This window comes from Homo sapiens, chromosome 8, assembly GCF_000001405.40.
Source record: "Homo sapiens chromosome 8, GRCh38.p14 Primary Assembly".
Taxonomy (NCBI): Eukaryota; Metazoa; Chordata; class Mammalia; order Primates; family Hominidae; genus Homo; species Homo sapiens.
The window spans coordinates 66,538,090-66,561,135 of record NC_000008.11 but is presented as its reverse complement, the minus strand read 5'-3'; the positions used below and the strand labels follow the sequence as shown (position 1 = coordinate 66,561,135).

Here is a 23,046-nt window from a genome sequence, read left to right as displayed (position 1 = left end):
GCACCTCCACGCCGGCTAATTTTTGTATTTTTAGTAGATGGGGTTTCACCATGTTGGCCAGGCTGGTCTCCAATTCCTGACCTCAACTGATCTGTCCGCCTCAGCCTCCCAAAGTGCTGGGATTACAGGCGTGAGCCACCGCGCCGGGCCCTCTTTGTATGACTTCTTTTCTTTGTCTCCCTAGCCTGTTAAAATCTTAGCCTTCAAGGCATGGGCCTGTGAGTCATTTCCTGATTATCCTAGTGCTTCCATAAAACTTTCCCACCAGACTGCATTTCTGAAGAGTAGGGATTGCTATTTATAACTCCTTCATTTCTGTGTCTAGCATGGTGCTTAGAAAAATCTCGCCAAGTGTTAAATTTAAGTAATTTAAAAAATTAGTCATGACTCAGAATATTAACCATACTTTTTTATACTATGAATTATAAATAGCTTTGATAGTTATCTGCATGAAGCTAGTTTTGCTTCACAGCCAATAAATTGTATTACTTTCTTAAAATCTTTCAGTTCATTTTATAGCCAGATAATTTCCTGCTTGACTTATCCAGTTCTATAGTGGTAGGCTTGCCAGCCAATCAGACCTTTAATTTGTAATGTAAAACTGATGATAGTATTTGAAGACGTGCCTCCTACTTGGTGAGAAGTGAAAATTTATTTTTAATTAAGTAGTAGGAGATAAATTGAACCAAGTAGAATTCTGTTGGAACATTGCACTTTCCCCTGGCCTTTTTTTTTTTTTTTAGAGAGTATGGATATTGTCAATAATGTGAAATATATCAGTAGAAAATCAAGATAAAGTGCACTTGGAAAATACTTGTGACTGATGTGCTAGGAAGAGAGTGTTTTTGAAAATATTTTAGTGTGTTGGTCTAAGTACGTCAAAAGCTGTTGAGTTTGGAGCAAATAGTATTAAAAGTAGTAGTGTGTACTGCCCTTATTTCTGAAGTTTTCAGACCTAGTATGCTTAACTCAAGTTCCAAGTACAGAATGTGCTAGGTTTGATTGGATTTTCCTGGCCAGCACAGGGAAAGAAGGCAGGAGATTCACTTTACTCTGATTTAACTACTGTGATTTTGCCAAACAAAGCTCAGAAGTTTTGAGCAGATTTGAACATAATGTCCTAAGCCCTAATATTGTTAGTACTTAACTATTTATTCAGTTTAGCTAAGTGCTTACGATGCCCTGTGCTAGGCACTGCATATACTATGGTAAACAGTGCATGACCTTTCCCTTAAGGAAGCTGATATTCTAGAAGGGGAGATGAATAAGTATGTAACAGAAATGTCTTTTCTCCTTTGGCCAAAAGTGAGATGGATCAAATAGCCAAGTTCCCTATTGTATGTGTAGATGCTCATTTGTGAATAAAGGAATAGTTGGACTCTGCCCAGATGACATGGATTTTTTCCCTCTCTCATATTCAGAATTGACTGGAGTCTTGCATTACCCGGGAAGTTCACAGACTATAAGTTTGAGTACAGTGTGGCAGCTGCAGCCACACTCCACCCACTGTGCTAAAACCTTTACATACATTATCTCACTTAATCCTCACAATACCCCTATGAGGCAAACACTGTTATAATCCACTTCTCTGGATGTGGAAACAGGGTTAAGAGGCTTTCCAAACTCACAGTGAAATACTGAGCTGGGATTCAATCATCCAAGGTTTAGTTTGATTCTTTAAGCATAGGGCACGAAAGATGACATAGTGTATGATTCCCTTTATATAAAAGTACAAAAACAGGCAGAGCTAATGCATGTTGTTAGAAGTCAGGATAGTGATGGTCCTGGTGGTCCTGGGCGGGAAGGTTGGAAGGAGCACGGGGCAGTTCTGAGTGTGCGATACTCCACTTCTTGCACCAGGTACTGATTTCATGGATGTGTTCACAGTTTGTAAAAATCAAGCTCTACTATTAATGGTATGTGTACTTTATCTACATTATGCCTTAATAACAAGTTTAAAAAATGAAAGCTAGGTTATAACAGGAAAATAAAAGTGCTCAGCCAGAACAAAATATAATGAATCATTTTCTTTTCTTTTCTTTTTTTTGATACAGAGTCTCGCTCTGTCACCCAGGCTGGAGTGCAGTGGCGCGATCTTGGCTCACTGCAACCTCCGCCTCCTGGGTTCAAGCGATTCTCCTGCCTCAGCCTCCCAAGCAGCTGGGACTACAGGTGTGCGCCACCTTGTGATCCACCCGCCTTGGCCTCCCAGAGTGTTGGGATTACAGGCATAAGCCACCACGCCTGGCCAATGAATCATTTTCTATATTCTTCCATTTATATGCTTACTTGTAAGAGTCTACAAAGCTAGCACTCAGAACTTTTCATTATTCTCCAGCAAGTGTTAGGCCCATTTCTCCTGGTAAAATAAATTTATACTAAATTTTTACATGAAATAATTATTTCCTTGAGCTACGTATACTAAATTTTTATGTGTATGACCAAACTCTTTTTATTTCCTTGGTTTTTTGTTTGTTTGTTTTTTGGAGATGGGCTCTCGCTCTGTTGCCCAGGCTGAAGTGCAGTGGTGAGATTTCAACTCACTGCAACCTCTGCTTCCTGGCTCAAGTGATCCTCCTACCTCAGCCTCCTGGGTAGCTGGGACTACAGGCCTGAGTCATCATGCCTGGCTAAGTTTTGTATTTTTGGTAGAGGCAGAGTTTCAGCATGTTGCCCAGGCTGGTCTTGAACTCCTAAGCTCAAGTGATCCACCCACCTCAGCCTCCCAAAGTGCTGGGATTACAGACATGAGCCACGCGCCTGGCCTGTAAGTGCTAACTCTACCTCATTGCATGAATCATTTACTCAAGCCAAGCTACATACTCGCAGTTCTCCATAAATATTCACAATTACCCATCTCTGAATCTCCGCCTCAAAGTTCATACTTTCACTCCCGCCCCCACCAAAATATCCATATTCACCAAATCATTTGTCACAAGATAGTCATCTGTCTAATGTGGTCCACTAGTTACTTTGTACCTTATCAACTGCACTTCTTTATAAGAGATATAAAGAAGAAACCTGGGTTGAATCTTTGGGAAGAATAATTATAGGTATTAGTGTAAATTTCTCATGCCTTTGGACTGTGGAATAAATAGGTGGGCCATATTATATTGAGAGGTGGGATCATGAGGTTTGCCATAGAACCAAAATAATTGTGAATTAATTCACTTCCTCTATACACATCTACAATCTGTTTCTATAACTATATTGAATCTAGAAAAATCAAATACTACTTCAATAAACTCTAGAGTCCTTTAAGTAAATGTTAAAATCAAACCCAGTATACAGTCAGGGCCATTATTATAATTGTCAACATATTGACCTCCTGGGCTCAAGCAATCCTTCCACCTCAGCCCCTACAAGTAGCTGAGACTACAGGTGCTCGCCACCATGCCTGGCTAATTTTTTTCTATTTTAATAAATTTTGTTTAATTGTTTATTTAGAGTTCATATTAACTAACATTTACCCAATAATTGTCATTATGTGCTTTTCAAATCATTTCAAGTTTTGTTTTTTTTAAAATACTATTTTAGGACTTAATGATAACAGTGAACTCAATAAGTAAATGGGTAAATTCTTTCTTTAAAAACAATGTAATAAAATACATTGGATTGTGTTTATTGATTTCCCTTAGACACTTTTAACTTTGAATTTGGTTGGGCTGGGCACACTCTTCTTATTAGAAATCACCATGCATAAAGCTATACTGATACTACCAAAAAAAAAATCAGTTTAGCTTAATGTTTGAAGAATATGGAAGCCAAAATTCAAGATATAAAGAAGAAACCTGGGTTGAATCTTTGGGAAGAACAATTATAGGTATTAGTGTAAATTTCTCATGCCTTTGGACTGTGGAATAAATAGGTGGACCATATTATATTGAGAGGTGGGATCATGAGGTTTGCCATAGAACCAAAAGTTGGTAAAGCAAGTATTTTTTTTTCTATTTTTATAATTTTTTTTTTTTGAGACAGGGTCTCACTTTGTCACCCAGATTGGAGTGCAGTGGCATGATCTTGACTCATTGCAGCCTCAACCTCCTGGGCTCAAGCAATCCTTCCACCTCAGCCGCTACAAGTAGCTGAGACTACAGGTGCTCGCCACCATGCCTGGCTAATTTTTTTTCTATTTTAATAAATTTAATTGAAAATTTGAGGTCAATTCTATCTCTTACAGAATGCGTAATTGCTAGACATATGATATTTAAGGAAATTTGCTTATATGTATTGAACTATCTCCATGTATTTTAAACATACACTCTTTTATATGTGAAAGAAAATTAAAATTTAGAGAAATCTTGGGAAGTAACAGCTGCTTCTTAACAAAAACAACAACAGCTTCTTCTTACTCTTTAAAATTAGCTAATTGGTAGCTGGGCATGGTGGTGCATGCCTGTAGTCCCAGCTACTGGGGAGGCTGAGCCACGAGAATCACTTGAACCTGGGAGGCAGAAGTTGCAGTGAGCACCACTGCACTCCAGCCTGGGCAACAGAGTGAGACCCTGTCTCAAAAAAATAATAAAAATAAAAGTAAAAATATGAATAAATAAATAAAATTAGCTAATTGGTAACTTATTTCCTCTTTCCAGTACTCCCAGGTTAATATATGGCCCATTTTCCTGTCCCCTAGGCCCAGATCTGCTTATGAGATGGTGCCAAGCCTCCATTTCTGCCCACATTGCAGTTCTCTCCACCCTTTCCTTCTTCCAGTATTATATAAAGTGAGGTAGCTCTCAGCTGAGGTGGGAGTAGTTGTAATTGCAGAAGCATTTCTTTCACAATTGTTTAAAATGGAATGAGACAAGTTGGCATCTCTCGCCTGTTGGGGTATTATCACCTTTTCCAAGGTTGTGTATTATTTTTCAGAGCTGGGAGAATATCAGGTAAAATGCAGCCACCTGCAAATCGTCCTTTGAGGGAATTATGTTGTAAACCATGGAATAATGACTTAGGGACAACTTTCAATGATCACTCTCAGGGTTTCCACAGCATTTTGAAAAGTCACTGCAGGAAAGGGTGCCTTTCCTTGGTGAGGAAGCCGTAACAGGAAATAGTCAATAGAAACCTTTGTCGGTTACTTAAACAATAAAAGGATTGTGGCAGCTTCCCGATGGTATGAAGGAAAGCGTTTATGTGTTGCCTAGGCTGGATTTCCCTGTAGTGATTTGTAAAAGCCAAATAATTGAGGGTGGCAAGTCCCTCTGATGACTGCAGGCCACCAGAGAGGCCAGCCCTGAGCAGTGAGGCGTGAAACACACACGTTGCCAGCCTTTTGTTCCATAAGCAGACCAGCTTGGGCAGGAGATTCATCGGAGGCTGCTCTGAATGAGAAACTACAAAGTTATGAATGGCCCGTCTGCTCACAGGCCAGAGCCGTTGGATCTCTTGAGTCCTCTAACCTCTTTCCTAGTTGCTTTAATCCATTTCCTCCAAAATCAGATGTTATTAGGCATTGTTTTCTGAAGAAATAACCAAGGGATAGCACTCAGATAAAGAGTTGCTTTACTTAATTGCCATTTTAGCCATAAATTGCTACAGAAGGATTTGTAAAAACGAACAACATTTACTAGTCTAAAAATCCATTAAAAGTGACATAAGAAAGGAAGGCATAGATTGTTTGTTGAAAAATGACAATAATATAATGGAAAGAAGCTGGTCTCCATAAGAGCACTGCAGGGCTGGCATTAGGGGAATGATAAACGGCCTGGGTGATGCTCCGTGCTTTCCAGCACTAGTTTCTGCATGGTTTCATTTGGTCTTCACTGTAACTTCTGCAGGTAGCTATTAATATAATGATTCCATTTTACAGAGGAACAAACTGAAGACCAGAGAAGTTATTTGACCTGCCCAAGATCATACTGGTAGAGGTGGATTTATTGTAAAGCAAATGAAGCTTAAACATCAAGGCTTGTATGGACTCCTGTGAGCGCAGGGAGTCACACAGTGTGAGATATAGGAGGGGAAACCAGATTGCAATTGGAAAGCATTTCTATATAAGCATTTCTGGTAAATTGCCTAAAGAGCTCTTAGAAGAAAAGATCGAAATCTCCACATCTCCAGAAATGTGTTGTGATTTCCTTTTTAATTCCAAAGAAACAGTCAATTCTTCTAATTTTGTATTCTTAAAGAAAGGGTCCCCAAACTGTAAAAGCTTTGAGCCCCATAAAACCTGCATGTGCTTTTGCAAACAGGTGGTAAGTCATAGAGCTGGGTTTTGAATTTCAGTCTTCTGATTCCAAGACCTATTCTATTTTCAGACTATGTTGAAACACAGAAAAGTATAAATAGGACATCAGAAAAGGCAGGGCATGAGAATTATAATTGTAATAGTGTAAAACCTTACATCTGATAAAAGACTCAAAGGAAACACTTTCAGGCTAAGAACTATGTATTAAAATGTGTAGATTAGTGATTTATCTTCTTTTTTTCCCTAAATTTTCTGAATGCTAAGGTATTTCAATAGTGTAAGATGAAACTGGACATACAGAAGAATTTAAAATTTTTACTGATTTAACAGATTATAATACTAGTTGTTCAAATTTTAAATGTTTATAAAGCAAGGCCAAGTTACCAACAATCAAACTTATAAATTCAGATAAATTCTGGCAAATAGTTTATTTTCTCTGAAGGCATTGATATATCATTTATATTTTCTTGATGGAAGAACTAAGATGGAATTTTATTTCCAAATACCACTAGCTTGCATTTATTTTGCAGTAGATCCTTGACATCCACTGTGCTTACATATTGTTTTTGTTTTGTTTTTTGTTTGTTTGTTTGTTTTGAGACACAGTCTCATTCTGTCCCCCGGGCTGTAGCGCAGTGGTATGATCTCGGCTCACTGCAACCTCTGCCTCCCGGGGTTCAAGCAATTCCACTGCCTCAGGCTCTTGAGTAGCTGGGATTACAGGTGGGCACCACCATGCCTGGCTAATTTTTGTATTTTTAGTAGAGACAGGGTTTCACCATGTTGGCCAGTGTGGTCTGAACTCCTGACCTCAAGTGACGGCCCGCCTTGGCCTCCCAGAGTGCTGGGATTACAGGCGTGAACCACTGTGCCCAGCCGGTTTTTACATATAAAGTAGAACTAATGTTGCTTATCCCTTCTCTAACACCTAGTTTCATTTGTATATAAAGGAGGTGTTGATATTGCACAAAGGGTCAGAAAGAAGGCCAGGATTCTCATCCTAGAGAGAGATCTCTAGAGGAATGATAGATCTGACAGTAGCCTATGTTGGCTACCTTAACCTCTCTGAATTTCAGTCTCCTCTTTTATAGAATGGGAACAGGTATATCTTTGTTACTAACCTCTGAGTTAGGATGAAATGAGCTAATGAGTGTGTATGTGCCTATCAACTACGGAATTGTCTGCAAAGATGAGGCATTTGTATTGGCCAAATGACCAAGTACTGTATTATTATATCAGGAAAACAAGTCATTGTAAATAGAAACCCTGCCTCAAATTTGCAGAAGAGAGTGCCCAATTAGCAGAGGTATGGATGATTAAGAGGGCAGCAAATCATTTCTATCTCATTCAATACTGTAATTCAAGCACATAGTACAGTGCCTGGCATATAGTAGATGCTCAATAATTATTTGTGGAATAAATGTATACATGCATATATGCAAGAATGATTGAAATTTTGCCCTACTCCAATATTGGGCTCCAATATTAGAGGGTAATTTTAATCAATGGAGATGGAGGAATTGAATTTTAGGCAGAGAGAACAAAAATGAGTAAAAGGCTGGAGAATGGAAAATTAAGGATGTACTTAAGGACTGCCAAGTGGCTCCACTTTGGTTGAAGAAATCATGTTGTAAAAATGCACACTGGGGCCAGACCCTAAGGGGCCTTTAAAATCCTGGTAAGAGATTGAACTTTTATACTGAAGGAGTTTGGGAGCCTATGAGTATGTGTTACAAACAGGAAAGTTTGTGCTGGCAATAGGCAAGACGGGCTACCAAGAAATGGCTCACATAGTGATCATTGGCCCCAAGCTTTAATACAGCTAGTGATTATAACTTATTCCCATCCAATCAATCAACAAGTATTTACTGAGTGCCTCTGTGTGCAAGAGCCTGTGTGGACCATGTGTGGCAATCACAGAAGTACAAGACAAAAGTGAAGATTAACATTGTTCACAGCTCCCCCCAGAAAGATGGACATGTGCATGTGAAAAGTTTACCAAAAACACACGGCAGTTCCTGCTGTGGACCAAAGGAAGGGATAGAGACGGAGCGCTTCAAGAGTTTGGGGGAAGATCAGATGCTAGGCCAGAGCAAAAAATTGCCATAAAGGACATTATTGGGACCATGCTTGGGCTGCCATAATAAAATATTATGAACTGGGTAGCTTAACAACAGACATTTATTTCTCACAGATCTGGAGGCTGGTAGTCCAAGATCAGGGTGCTGGCAAACTTGGTTTCTGGAGAGAGTTCTCTTCCTGCCTTGCAAACAGCCATCTTCTTGATGTGTCCTCACACGGCCTTTCTTCTATGCATGTGTGGACAGGCAGGAGAGAGCTCTGGTGTCTCTTCTTATAAAGATACCAGTCCTATCGGATCAGGGCCCCACGCTCAGGACCTCATTTCACCCTAATTACTTCTTTAGAGGCCCCATCTTCAAATACAGCCATGCCAGGGGTTAGGGTTTCAACATATGAATTGTAGAAAGACAGATTCAGTCCATGCAATTAGCAACACTTAAATAAAATTAATATATTAGATAATGGTATTGTATCAGAATTAACTTTCATGATTTTGATCTTTGTAGTATGGCTATTTAAATGAATATTTTTGTTTCTAATAAAGGAGCAGTATTTAGGGATAAAGGAGTAACTCTCAGTTCAAGGGAAATGTTTGTGCCTGTGCATATGCAAGTATGTGTGCACACGCATGTATGCGTGTAAACATACAGAGAGAGAGGGAAAGAGGATAATAAAGCAAACATGGCTAAAACGTCAACAATTGGTGGACCTGGTTTGAAGAACGATTCAGAAATTTCTTGTATTGGCCAGGCACGGTGGCTCACACCTGTAAACTCAGCATTTTGGGAGGCCAAGGTGGGTGTATCACCTGAGATCAGTTCAAGACCAGCCTGGCCAACATGGTGAAACCCCATCTCTACTAAAAATACAAAATTAGCCAGGTGTGGTGGCATGTGCCTGTAATCCCAGCTACTCAGGAGGCTGAGGCAGGAGAATCACTTGAAGCCAGGAGGTGGAGGTTGCAGTGAGCCGAGATCACACCACTGCACTCCAGCCTAGGCAACAAGAGTGAAACTCCGTCTCAAAAAAAAAAAAAAAAAAAAGAAAAGAAATTTCTTGTAGTATTCTTGTTACATTTAGTGTTGAATCATTTCAAAATGAAAAGTTAAACAGGAAATGTTTGAAGAAGCAAAAGAAGTCTGGAGTTCTGGAGGAGGTGGGAAAAAGACTTTCCTCCGTTCTTCCTGGACGTTGTGCCTCCAGCCTGGCCCCGCTACCCACGTCTTTGAAGGCTGCTCTTTGCGTCTGACCTCCCTTCTTTGAGACTAGCCAGTGGGTGATAAACCTCTGAGGTATTTAACCAATTTGAAGTAGTAAATGTAATTTATATATTTATTATTTCGTTTACTGTTCACTTTCCAAAGGAGAAACTATATGAATGGCACCAGAGAGTCATAGTGAGTCTGGGGAATAGATGTGATGATAACATCAAAATTTACCGCAATTTCTGAGCACTTTAGATTTAGTGGTAGCTTCTTTGTGTAGTTTGGGTCCTTTATTTATTGCAATTACCTTTGCACCAACCTAATAGTTTTCTCACTGTAACTTTTTATGATATGGTTTTTATTTTTTAAGACAGGGTCTTGCTGTGTCACCCAGACTGGAGTGTGTGGTGAAATCATGGCTCACTGCAGCCTCGACCTCCCAGGCTCAAGAGATTCTCCCACCTCAGCCTGCTGAGCAGCTTGAACCACAGATGCACACCACCAAGCCTGGCTAATTTTTTTTCTCTCTCTCTTTTTTTTTTTTTTTTTTTTGTAGAGACAGGGTCTTGCTATGATGTGGTTTTAAAGGTAAATGTTTTCTCAAGCTTGCTGGTGGAGAAAGAATAGCATTGTTTCCCTAGAAAGAATAGCGTGTTTCCCTAGACCATAATACAAATTAAGGGTTGGGAGGTGGGCGGGATAGGAACATAGAGTGAATGGAATTCATTAGATCATTGCAATACCAAATATTGCCTGAATTCTAGAATTCAGTTTGAGATTTTTAAAAATCAATCTTTCAATCTGGGCAAATAATTAGAAATAAATGTTTTTCTTTGTTAAACAATAAATTGTATTGTATATATTTGAGGCTTAAAACATGATATTGGCTGGGCATGGTGGCTCATGCCTGTAATCCCAGCACTTTGGGAGGCTGAGGTGGCCAGATTGCTTGAGTCCAGGAGTTTGAGACTAGCCTGGGCAACATGGCGAAACCCTGTCTCTACTAAAAAAACAAAAAAATTAGCTGGGTGCCTGTAGTCCCAGCTACTCAGGAGGCTGAGGTAGGAGGATCACCTGAGGCCAGGCGGTTGAGACTACAGTGAGCTGAGATTGCGCCACACCACTGCTCTCCAGTGGGGGCTACAGGAGTGAGATCCTGTCTCAAAACAAAACAAAACAAAGCAAAACAAAACAAAACAAACCGTGATATTAAAGGATATGTATAGATAGTAAAATTGATACTATAGTAAAGCAAATTAACATATACATTATCTCACATAGTTCCTTTTTTGTGTGTGACAAGAGCAGCTAAAAATCTTATTTAACAAAAATTCCCAATACAGTACAATTTTATTAACTTTGGTCCTCACATTGTACTTGCTACATCTCCCTATTTTCTCTCCCTTCCCCTCCTCACTTGTCCCTGTTCTCTATCTTTGTGTATTTGGGTTTTTTTTTTTTTTAAGATTCCACATGTAAGTAAGATCATGCAGTATTTTTTCTTTCTGTGTCTGGCTTATTTCACTTAGCAAGGTGTCATCCAGGTCCTTTCCATCCATGTTGTGGGAAATGGCAGGATCTCTCTCTCTCTCTCTTTTTTAAAGATGGAGTTTTGCTGGAGTGCAGTGGTGTGATCATAGCTCACTGCAGCCTCAAACTCCTGGGCTCAAGTGATGTTTGAACTTTAGCCTCCTGAGTAGCTGGGACTACAGTCATGCACCACCACACTCAGCTAATTTTTTTTTTTTTTTGGAAAGATGGGGATCTCGCTATGTTGCCCAGGCTGGTCTCAAACTCCTGGCTTAAAGTGTCTTCTTACCTTGGCCTCCCAAAGCGCTGGAATTATAGGCATGTGTCACCATGCCCATCCAGGATCTCCTTTCTGTAGCTGAGTACAAACAAGCATTTCAAAAATTTCGTTGTCTATATGAAAGGCAATTATATTTTGGGTGAAGCTATACTTTTATTTGAGAAAAGTTGGTGGGCATAATAAGTTTTTAAGTAAAACAAAAGTTAATTAACTTATAGAATGGTCATTCATTCTGAGAACACATTCTTTCTATTTTTGGGGTGTCTGCATAATAATCTTTCTTTCTGAAACAATGAGGATAGTCCTAATTTGGCAATATATGCCAAACCCCAAACCTATTCTCCAAACCCCTAATATTTTTGAAATCTTACAGGCACATGAAATCCAGAATTTGGGGAACCACTCCTGGGGTTCTTGAATAAGAAACCCCCATCCCTAGAAAGATCTCTTTCACTCTCTTCCAGCATTTCCTTGACTGTTCATGTTCTTGAATATGTTCGGTGGCCAGTGAACTATGACACAAAGCTTGGTGGGAAGTAAGATTTAGCTCTCATTGCCATTGTTTTGTTGGCATGTTGATATCAGAAACTCTAGTCACAGTAGTTGACGGGAGTAGTTGATTTTATATTAAATGGATAAGAGCATGGTTAATGGTACATTTCAGTTAAACGGGGCATTGCAGCCATGATGGGGTCTCTTTGGGTTCTGTGATGAAAGACAGTGAATTAGCAGTTTCAAGCCTGGAATCCTCACACAGAATGTCAAGCCGTGGTAAAGAACAAAGGGGCCCATGGGAAAACAAGCCACTGCATTCTTAGCAGCTGCCTGGATTTTCTTCTCTTATTATAACCCAGTGGCAATGGTTTTAAATGACAACACAGGATATCTATTTAGTAATAACCACAAAAAGAAAGTAGCTGAGGAGGTAGAATGCTTGGTTGGGTGATAGTGATGAGAGGAACCCTGGAGGCAGAATGTCTGTGGGCCATGTAATTAAATCATCAGATGTCAGCTATCGACTTTCTCCCACATTGTAAGGACAGAGCTATCTTCTCACTTATGGTTATTTCTCCTCATTTTTGTGAAAACATAAAATGCAGTGTGTTCTGGAAAAAAAATACTAAAGTACTATTACAGTGGATAGCTAGTCAGACACGAGCAGGGCAGGAAAGGCCCCCCGCCAACCCTGTGTTCACCAGAAATGTCAGGCAACCATGAGGTGATGGTCAGGTGGTTATTAAACTGTCTCTCTAAAATAATAATTGTGGCCAGGGGCAGTGGCTCACTCCTGTAATCCCAGCATTTTGAGAGGCAGAGGTGGGAGGATCACTGAGACCAGCCTGGGCAATATAGTGAGACCTCGTCTCTATAAAAAAAAATTGGTCACAACCAGCACCAGGCAAAGGCAGTCTCCCAATAGATAGAAACACCTGAAACTGGTGATTAGCAGCTTCCCAATAAGATCTTAGGAGTTGGGTGAGCAGGCTCCAGCATGAGCACTAAGAGGCAAAATGACGGAGTTTAAGTGCTATATGACCTTCCTCCAGGAACACTTGACTGGTAAGGCAAAAATGCTTCAAGTGAGCATGTACAACACCAGTAAACACTGCTCCTGGGGCTCCTCTCAACTGCTGGGAGTCCACTGAGCTGTGGACAGCCCACCCCAGGGGAAGAATCAGGGGAGAAGAGAGCAAAACCCCAGAAACATGCCAATGTATAAGACCCCAAGTCAAAGGTCAAACAGGGCACTTGAATCTGTGAAGTCACCACTTGGCCCTCTTCCAAGTGTACTTTACTTTCTTTCCTTCCTACTCCAAAATTTCTTTAAAAAACTTTCACTCCTGCTCTAAAACTTGCCTGGGTCTGTCACTCTGCCTTATGCCCCTCGGTTGAATTCTTCTGAGGAGGCAAGAATTGAGGTTGCTGCAGACCCCTATGGATTTGAGGCTGCTAACAGTACTATTATGCTCAAGAATATGGTCATTATTTTATAATCCCCACTTATTTTCCTAAGGCTTGAGAGGAAGTCATTTCCTGAGACAGATATAAGTTATTACAGCATTGAATTGTTGAGAAAAAGAAAGAGAGTTAGAGAATATATGTTTGGGGTTTTGTACATTAAATAACTCATATAATAGCTCAAGATATGCATGACTTCCATTATATAAATAAAAATAATCCAATTACTGTGGTGTTGGTTACACAACTCTGTGAGTTTATAAAATTTTTTTATTTTTTTTGAGGCAGGGTCTCACTCTGTCTCCCAGGCTGGAGTGCAGTGGCACAATCACAGCTCGTTGCAGCCTTGACCTCCTGAGCTCAAGTGATCCTCCTGCCTCAGCCTCCCGAGCAGCTGGGACTATAGGTCTATACCACCATGCCTAGCTAATTTTTGTATATTTTTTTATAGCAGTGAGGTTTTGCCATGTCATCCAGGCTGGTCTTGAACTCCTGGGCTCAAGCAATTCACTGGCCTCCTAAAATGCTGGAATTATAGGCATGAGCCAGCATGCCCAGCCTATCAAAAATTATTGAATTGAATACTCGAAATGAGTGAATTTAATGGTATGTAAATTATGCCTCAATAAAGCTGTTAAAAATTAATTGGTTTGTTTGGCATGTATAACCAATAAAATGTAACAAAAGAAGATAGCAGCAAAACATTTTTAAAAAGCCATAACTTAGTTCACATCCATGTGTAATATTGTAGGCTATAGAGGGATGGTCAAAAGTGAGAATCTGATATTGAATCACATGAGAAATATGAAAAAATTTGCATTTTTAGTTTGAAGAGTGCTCTGAAAGCTTTGACCCGTGTAACCACCCCAGTTCTGTATTCAGTGTTCAGCAATGACTCCAACAGGTTCTGAGGTACTAACAGGAACCATGGACAAGAAAGAGTTTATAGGGGAGGGTGACTCAGAGGGTTTTTGTTGACTTAAGAGTAGCTGTGGCCAGTAATCTCAGCACTTCAGGAGGCTTAGGCAGGAGGATTGCTTGAACGCAGGAGTTTGAGACCAGCCTGGGCAAAAATGTGAGACCCTTTCTCTACAGAAATGTTTAAAAATCAGCCAGGTGTGGTGGTGCACACCTGTAGTCCCAGCTACTTGGGAGGCTGAGGTGGGAGGATTGCTTGAACCCAGGAGGTTGAGGCTGCTGTGAGCCATGATTGCACCACTGCACTCCAGCCTGGGTGATGGAGTAAGAACCTGTCTTAGAAAAAAAAAAAAAAAAAAAGAGAAAGAGCAGCTGTAACTGGAATGGTCATATAATTTACTATGTAAACTAAGGACAGTTTGGAACTTGAAATGTGATGCTATCCATAATCATACAGGAACAATAAACATAAGCAAGTCATATGCAAAGTCACTCTACCTCTAATCTTGTGTTTGATAATATAACAAATATTTGGCCCCAGAGAGTGGCTCATGCCTGTAGTCTCAGCACTTTGAGAGACTGAGGAAGGAAGGTCACTTGAGTCCAGGAGTTCAAGGCCAGACTGGGCAACAAGTGAGACTCTGTCTCTACAAAAAATAGAATAAATTACTAGGTGTGGTGGTGTGCACCTGTAGTCCCAGCTACTTAGCTGAGGTGGGAGGATCACTTGAGCCCAAGAGGTTGAGGCTGCAGTAAGCCACAACAACAAGAGGTTGAGGTGTGCAATAGGCACACCACTGCACTCTAGCCTAGGCTACAAAGCAAGACTTTGTCTCAAAAAAAAAAAAATTCTATGTAACTCTTGATTGGTTTTATAGGTAGGATTTGGAATTGGAAGGCTTATATAGAAGACTTTCGGGGCTTTGATTTCCTCAATTCTAAAACAGAGAATCTTATTCCTTTTCCCTTCCTTCCTTCCTTCCTTCCTTCCTTCCTTCCTTCCTTCCTTCCTTCCTTCCTTCCCTCCCTCCCTCCCTCCCTCCCTCCCTCCCTCTTTCCTTCCCTCCTTCCTTCCTTCCTTCCATCCTTTCCTCCCTCCCTCCTTCCTTCCCTCCCTCCCTCCTTCCTTCCCTCCCTCCCTTCCTCCCTCCCTCCTTCCTTCCTTTCCTCCTTCCTTCCTTCCTTCCCTCCTCCCTTCCTTCCTTCCTTCCTTCCCTCCTTCCTTCCTTCCCTCCCTCCCTCCTTCCCTCCATCCCTCCTCTCCTTCCTTCCCTCCCTCCCCTCCTTCCTCCAACATGTATTTATTGAGCTCCTACTATATATTTTTAAAGTTCTGTGCTAGGGATTCAGGAGATAGAAATAATCATTTCTAGCCCCAGTAACTCCTAGTCTACTTTCAGAAATGGAGTCACTGGCTGAGTGCAGTGGCTCACAACTGTAATCCTAGCACTTTGAGAGGCGAGGCAGGCGGCTCACATGAGGCCAAGAGTTTGAGACCAGCCTGGCCAACATGGGGAAACCCTGTCTCTACTAAAAATACAAAAATCAGCCAGGTGTGATGGCGTGCACCTGTAGTCCCAGCTACTTGGGTGGCTAAGGCAAGAGAATTGTTTGAACCAGGGAGGTGGAGGTTGCAGTGAGCTGAGATCTCACCATTGCACTTCAGTCCAGGTGACAGAGCAAGACCTTGTTAAAAAAAAAAAAAAAAGGAAGAAGAAGAAACAGAGTCAAAGATATAATTATAATTCATGTGCTTAGTGACAGCCCCTTCTTTAGCTTTTACGGGGTGTAACCCCTAAGTTAAGTCTTAAACTCAGAATAAGTCTAGGCGTGGTGGCTCACACCTGTAATCCCAGCACTTTGAGAGGCTGAGGATGGTGGATCTCTTGAGGCCAGGAGTTCGAAAGCAGCCTGGCCAACATGGTGTTACTCTGTCTCCACTAAAAATATGAAAATCAGCCTGGCTTGGTGGCACACACCAGTAATCCCAGCTACTTGGGAGGCTGAGGCACAAGAGTAGCTTGAATCGGGGAGGTGGAGGTTGCAGTCAACCGAGATCACACCACTGCACTCCAGCCTGGATGACAGAGCAAGATTCTATCTCAAAAATAAAAAAAAATGAAAATAAAAAAAGAGTCAGAATAGGCTTAGGCTTTAAGCTGGGGTTGGACAAGCTCTCTCCGGCAAGAGGCTAAAGAACATCACAATCCAATGTTCCAAGGTGACAAACTCTCTGCAGGGCAGCCATCCCCAGTGCCCCTTGTCATCTCTGACATCACCCTGGGCAGGTTTCCTCCATAGGGCTCACCATTCTCTCAGGAGCACCAGCAGGTTGCAAAAGCAAAATGCACAATGGTGCTGACTGGCCTTTTATGAAATGCACTTCATGCCCACAGACCTAAAGCAGTCCCTCAGCATGGCTGCACGATCCTACCCCGTGCCCGTGGGCGGTCAGCTCCTTCCCTCTCAGGAGGGAACTTTCCATCTTCTCCTCTCTCTTCAGATTTGCATTCACTCTTGGTCGCTGCTTTGTGTTTTAGACAAAATAGTGACAACCAGCCAGAAATACCTCATTGCCCCTGCCTGCCAGCACAACCCCCCACTTCCCGCTGGGCCTACACTCATCAAGTTCCCTGCAGAGGTGCCCACCTATACTCTCTACTCTGCTTCCTGAGGGTGCATCATCCATTGCTCTGAGGCCCACCCACCCTGTGAGCTGGACCCTGTCACCCACCGTGACTTGTTGCCCCTGCATGCCTTCCTTCTCTCTCCAGCATCCCACACTAGCAGACTATTTCCCCCTCTTTACCTGATTGTGGTTATCATCTACAATAGGGTGGAAATATCTCTCACTTTGAATAAATAACCCTCCCGTGACCCAAGCCCGCTCTGTATCCCCCATTTATTACCCTGCTGCTCTTCACAGCAAAACTCCACTTTTTCACCTTCCCTCTTACTCTGATAAAATCACCTCTTGCCAAACCAGTGCCCAGTTTGCAGTCCTTCTCTTATCTGATCTCTTAGGGGCTCATGGCAGAGCCCACTTGACCCTTTCCTTCATTCGGCCTCTGGGATCTTTCTAGCTCTTCTCCGGTTCTCTGGCTGCCCTCTTGGTTTCCTTTCCTGTCTCCTCCTCGTTGGGTGCCTAACTTCTAAATACTGGAGTCCCCAGGGCTGAGCCAGGGCCCCCTTTTCCTCTCTGTGTATTTGTCCCCTCAGGTGACTTCATCCAGTCCATGGCTTTCAATAACATCTATATGTAAAAAGAGAGCTGTCTCCAGTGTTCATTTTTTTAAATTTCTTTTTTATTATACAAGTGACACATTTAGTTATAGAAAATATGTAAAAGTCAGAAAACGCAGATGATAAAAAATAGGAAGATAAATTCAGCCATAAACACACAACCCAGAAATAATCACTATTATCATCTTGGTGTATATACTTTTTCTTCATCCATTCACACATATGTAAGTATATATATATATATATATATATATATATATATATATATATACACACACACACACATATAGTAACAAAATAGAATCATACTGTCCATATTATTTTATAACTTGCTTTTTCAATTTAAGAATGTTTTTGTGGATGTCCTTTGATAGTAATATAAACCTGTCTTCAGCACCTTTAATCTTTTTTAAAACATTTATTTTTTATTTTTTTTAATAAAAAAAACTCTGTGGGTACATAGTAGGTGTATATATTTACGGGGTACATGATGTGTTTTGATACAGGCATGCAATGTGTAATAATCACATCATGGAGATGGGGTATTCATCCCCTCGAGGGTCTATCCTTTTGTTACAAACAATCCAATTACACTCTTAGTTATTTTAAAATGTACAATGAAGTTTTTTTGACTATAGTCACCCCTGCTGTGCTATCAAATAGTAGGTCTTATTCTTAGCATCTTTAAATTGCTACATAATATTTTTATAGTATGTATGTTTCTACAATTTATGTAACCTAACTCTTTGTTGTCAGAGTTGTTTCTAAATGTTTGCTATTACACAAAAAATAGTGGTGCTGGCACTTGGCGTGTCTTTGGACCATTCTGAGTGACACCCCAGGATGTACTTCTAGGAGAGGCGACTTGCTGAGTCGGAGGCGCACACTTTAATGTGCACTGTCAAGGCTTGCTGGGGTCCCAGGGCTCACGCATCCCTTTCTCTCGCTGAGGGCCAGTCCACCCACATCAGCCGTCAGTCCCGGTGCCAGCCCGGAGCGGGAGGGGGCCCAAGCCCGCAGCACCCGGCGCCTTTTGTGTGGCCCGAGCCCTGGAGAGGCTGAGGGCGCGGCGGGCATGTAGCCTGCGGATGGCCCTGGCCCGCACCTGCCAGAAGTGTGTCGCGTCGGCCTGGTGCGGGGCGGCCGCTGCGCTGCATAAATGCACAACCCGCCGGAACGGGCGGCCTTTGTGCACGCCAGACACCAGATGGGACGCGATTAGGGATGTGACAAGCAGGACCGAGGGCAGGCTCCCCGTGGACCTGCTGCTGCTGCTACTACTACGGACATTTTGGCGGGAAGAGAAAATTATTTAAAAACGAAATAAATAAAAGAACGTCTTCCCTGTGACAGGCCCTTCGGACAAACGTCTTTTTGACTTTGTGTGTGCTCGGGGGCGGGGTTGCCGCTCAGAACCGGCTCTTTCCTCTGGGATAAAAGGCTTTTGCTCTGTCAGATCTGAGCCAACAAATGAGGGGGAGTTTCCATCTGGCCTTTGTGGGCAGAGACTAGAGCGATGTTTGCACTTGGGTGAGCGCGGCTGGCCCCGGGCCATTGTTAGGAGTCTTCAGTGCAGGGTGTCAGCCAGGATGGATCTGCGCTGCATCCCTCTGTCCAGGGCCCGCCCCAGGAGCGCCCAGGGTGTGTGCATCTGCAGACAGACAGGACACCGGGACCCCCAGAGAGAGTCTCCCAAGGTACCTCTTGGCCCAGTGTTCCTGGCCAGAGAAAGACTTGGCAACTGGAGGACGTGGGCCAACCCCTGACCAGGTGTGGATGCGTGGTGTGTGTAGGGGAGGAGGGTAGGACACAGGCAAGCAGAGCCATGCTCCAGCTGTAGCCGCACGTCGCCTGACCTCTGCCACCCCTGGTGGCCGTTTCTTCAGATCTGGCAGCAGAACTGATGATAGTAAGCGTGATTTATCTAGGGCTGCAGCTTGACCACCGTTTACACAGATTGGGAAATGCCCCGTTTGGATTTGAATGGGGTGTTCTGTTCTAGAACACCACTGTCCTGGGCCAGTAGATGTGAGGGAAGCTGTATGAAGGCCCCTTCTATGTTCTAAGCGTCTGCTCCACTGACTTGTCCTCTTCAGGTCTAGGTGCTCTCTCCAGAAGGCCCTGGTTACATCTGTGGTGGTGACCCGAGTCTATTAGCTCACCTCATCCCTTTAGCAGGGACCAGTCATTACATGCAGGCAATGACTCTTGGCCCAAAAGTACACTGAGGCATGAAAATCGGGAGAGGTCTGCAGTTAGGATGAGAGAGAGAGAGGACAGGCAGACCTGGGTGAAAGCTCAGCAGAGGGTCCCTGCTGTCGGGGGTGGGGCAAAGAGAGAAGACTCCACAGGGGAACCCTAAAAGCCCCTTCTGACATATTTGCCAACAGCCAGCCTGTTTGGATCTCACCTTCCCACCCAATCCTGCATTTCTAACACATCATCCTGGGTAGTATGCACAGATGTCCATCTGTGTTTGCATGGTGTGTTGTTGCTCTTCTAAAAAGAGAGTGATGGCCAGGTGCAGTGTTGAGCGTCTGTGGTCCCAGCTATTCAGGAGGCTGAGGCTGGTGGATTGCTTGAGCCCAGGAATTCCAGGCTGCAGTGAGCTATGATCGCACCACTGCACTCCAGCCAGGGTGACAAAGTGAGATTCTGTCTCAAAAAAAAAAAAAAAAAGGAAACAAGGTAAATCTGCCAATGACCTTTATGCCTTATTTAACTGGCATTTCCTTTTTTCCTTTATATCAAAGCATAAGACAGTTAAGGCCTTAGGAGATATTTTGACATTGTGAGACCTGTGGCCACAACTTGGAGAAAGAGATGTCCTTCTTTCCCTCTTGAGCAAAGGTAAGCCCCAAATACTTCATTAGGAAGGATTTTACTGCCCTATACAGTGATTCTCCACCAGCATTCTGCAAAGAGAAGAATAACTCCTTCTCATGTCCCTGGGAAGCAACTGAACATGTCTCACTTAGCTCCATTCCTCCCAAGAGAAAGCCATTTCACACCAATCTCTTTGTACTTTGGTGTAGGCCAAGCAGAAGAAGTTGCATTTTCTTAACACAAAGTTCTCTTCTGAACAGTTTAAAGTCCTGTTGCATTTCGGTTTTTATGAGTGAAAACAGGCATCTCAGAACACAGGATGGGAATCAGGATGGGGTGGGGACATCCAGGCTGGGTTGTGCAGGCAGGCGGCCTACTTGTGGTCAGAGGCACTCTCCCCCACCCCCGGTACCCCGTGTGGAGGCCCTTTACCCCTGGCCTGCAGCCCAGAATGAGGCTGGAAATGGCCCTCCCCAGCTTGCAGCAGTCTAGAGGGCATGTGTAACAGAGAAGCCCCCACTTTCAAGAATGGGAGGATGCCAGAGACGCTCCTCCAGCTTCATGTTTGATATTTCTTTTATTTTTATTTTTCACAAAGGCCCTACTCTAGGCTTGGCCAACTGCAGAGCTAGACAAGTCATTTGGCTTCTCCATTAAATAGGGAAGCTGTGAGCAAAATGGATCCTATAGTTCCATCTAGTTCCCAAGTCTGTGTCTACCATGAGAAAGAAGAAGCAGCAGTGTCAGAGGAATCAGATTCCCAGAAAAGGGAACTGAATATTTCTTCCTAGAACAACACATACCCAGAAACAAACACAGGTACAAAGACACATTTGACTGTCAAATGAGGTTTCTTATCTGATCATCCTTTCCTTTTTGACAACTATGCCCAATGATAACCATTAAAACCCTGGACTTGAGTAAATCAGTGGCTTTCATACTTACCGTCTTTCATACTTACCATCCTAGCTTCCCTGGTCTCCTTTGTCTTCCTGGGAACCAAGCTCGGGTCACTTCCCAAGCCTCAGACAAGGCCTTAGTAGGGGCTGGACTCAACTCCAGCCCCTGGTAACTTGGATGCTGCGCACTTGCTGATCACATGGCTGGCAGGAAGGCGGAGGTTAGTGGGCTAGAAGAGAATAATAACTATGTCTTCAACTGGGAGTGGTAGGGGAGGATAGGAGAATTTTTTTTCTTTTTTTGAGATGGAGTCTCACTCTGTCACCCAGGCTAGAGTGCAGTGGCATGGTCTCGGCTCACTGCAACCTTCACCTCCAGGGTTCAAGTGATTCTCCTGCCTTAGCTTCCTGAGTAGCTGGGATTACAGACATGTGCCACCACACCTAGCTAATTTTTGTATTTTTAGTAGATACGGGGTTTCACCCTGTTGACCAGGCTGGTCTCGAATACCTGATCTCCGGTGATCCACCTGCCTTGGCCTCCCAAAGTGCTGGAATTACATGTGTGAGCCACCGTGCCCAGCCAGAGAAGAATTCTTAACCATCCCACTTACTCCCTCACCTGCCAAGAACTCCTGGTGTACAAGAGCTCCAAAGTCCAGACAAGATCATGTCACTCCTCCACTCAAACGCTTCGGTGACTCCTGCTACTCACATTTGGGCACTTGGGGCCACCGTGAGCTAATCCCAAGCCTTCCTTTCTGGCTTGCTTCCTCACATTCCCCAATCAGATCCTTTCATCTCCTCAGAGAAACCCTTTATCTTCTCACCTCCATTCTTTTTCTGAGCTAGATGCCCTTATAAAAATGCCCTAACCCCATAACTTCCTCTTCAAATCCTAATTATCATGCAAGGCTCAAGGCTCAACTGGTTCTGCTGCCTCCTTCATGAAGTCTTCTTGGATCTCCTGAGCCAGAATTTTCTCTCCCTTATCTCAACATTCACAGTCTTTGGTTTGTACCTCTCTTTTGTTACTACTTGCTTCCTACCTATTTTTATCATTATTTCTACTCATCTTTGATTATGCCTTTATGTACCTTGGAACATTTAGCTCATGCAATGTATGTAGTAAGTAACTGAACAAATGTCCCTTGATTGACATATGAAAAGAAGCTGGCACAAACATGCCTGCCCTAATGTTGATGAAGCATGCAGCAGGACAGCTGTGAGGCAGGTGAAATGGAGATCTAAGAGCAAATGACTCCCCAACCACCTCAAAGCACATGGGCTTTATTTTCCAGAACTGAATCTGCTGCTAGCTTGCCAACGCTGTCTGCCTTCCAGAAAGGACCTATTTTCTTTCCTCTTCTCTTTTTTTTTCCTTCTTATTTGAGGCCCACACACCTGTATACCTCTCAGGTGGAATAACAGAAGAGTTGGAAATACAAGACGTATTTAAGGAAAAGAGGTACTAATTTTGAAAGATTATATTGTGGTTAGGTTAATCTCACAATACAAGGAGTGTAGTTTTGATCACTTTGTGCTTATCATTTATTTTTTTTCTTAGACTATTTAAAGCAAGCTTTAAGGCCTCATGGGCTGCAAACCAGTGCTTCTCAAACTTGAATGTGCACACACACCACCAGAGGATCTTATTAAAATGCAGATCCACATTCAACGTCTGTAATTTTGCATTTCTAATGAGCTCCGGGGTGGTGCCTTTGCTTTGGTTCCATGGGCCATACCTCAAAAAGCAAGGATCTAGAGATAATTTTCCAATTATGTATAGTAACTAAGGTTCTCAAATCACCTTTCTCACTTTGAATTCCCTTAATATCTTGTTTGTGTTGTTCTAAAGGCCCATGTAGCAGATTTCATTTTATTATAGCCATGCCATACATTAGAAGTAACCTC

At 42.6% G+C, this 23,046-nt stretch overlaps 1 long non-coding RNA gene across 2 annotated transcripts in view, besides 2 other annotated features; it reads left to right on the top strand.

Moving 5' to 3' along the window:
* Positions 14,276–14,325: an enhancer, noted in NCBI's record as "active region_27482". NCBI's record gives its function as "activates an Ori minimal core promoter by ATAC-STARR-seq in GM12878 lymphoblastoid cells {active_cell/tissue: GM12878}" and the evidence as "EXISTENCE:reporter gene assay evidence [ECO:0000049][PMID:35858748]".
* LOC124901955 (uncharacterized) overlaps positions 18,971–23,046 on the top strand; it is a 35,981-nt gene continuing 31,905 nt past the window's right edge. For both annotated transcript variants that reach the window (XR_007060952.1, XR_007060951.1), the window contains exon 1: positions 18,971–19,177. This is a non-coding gene — a long non-coding RNA (uncharacterized LOC124901955). The remainder of the gene's footprint in view (positions 19,178–23,046) is intronic.
* Positions 19,063–19,579: an enhancer, noted in NCBI's record as "H3K4me1 hESC enhancer chr8:67453792-67454308 (GRCh37/hg19 assembly coordinates)". NCBI's record gives its function as "activates a minimal SCP1, AML or CMV promoter by ChIP-STARR-seq in naive H9 embryonic stem cells {active_cell/tissue: H9 hESC(naive)}" and the evidence as "EXISTENCE:reporter gene assay evidence [ECO:0000049][PMID:30033119]".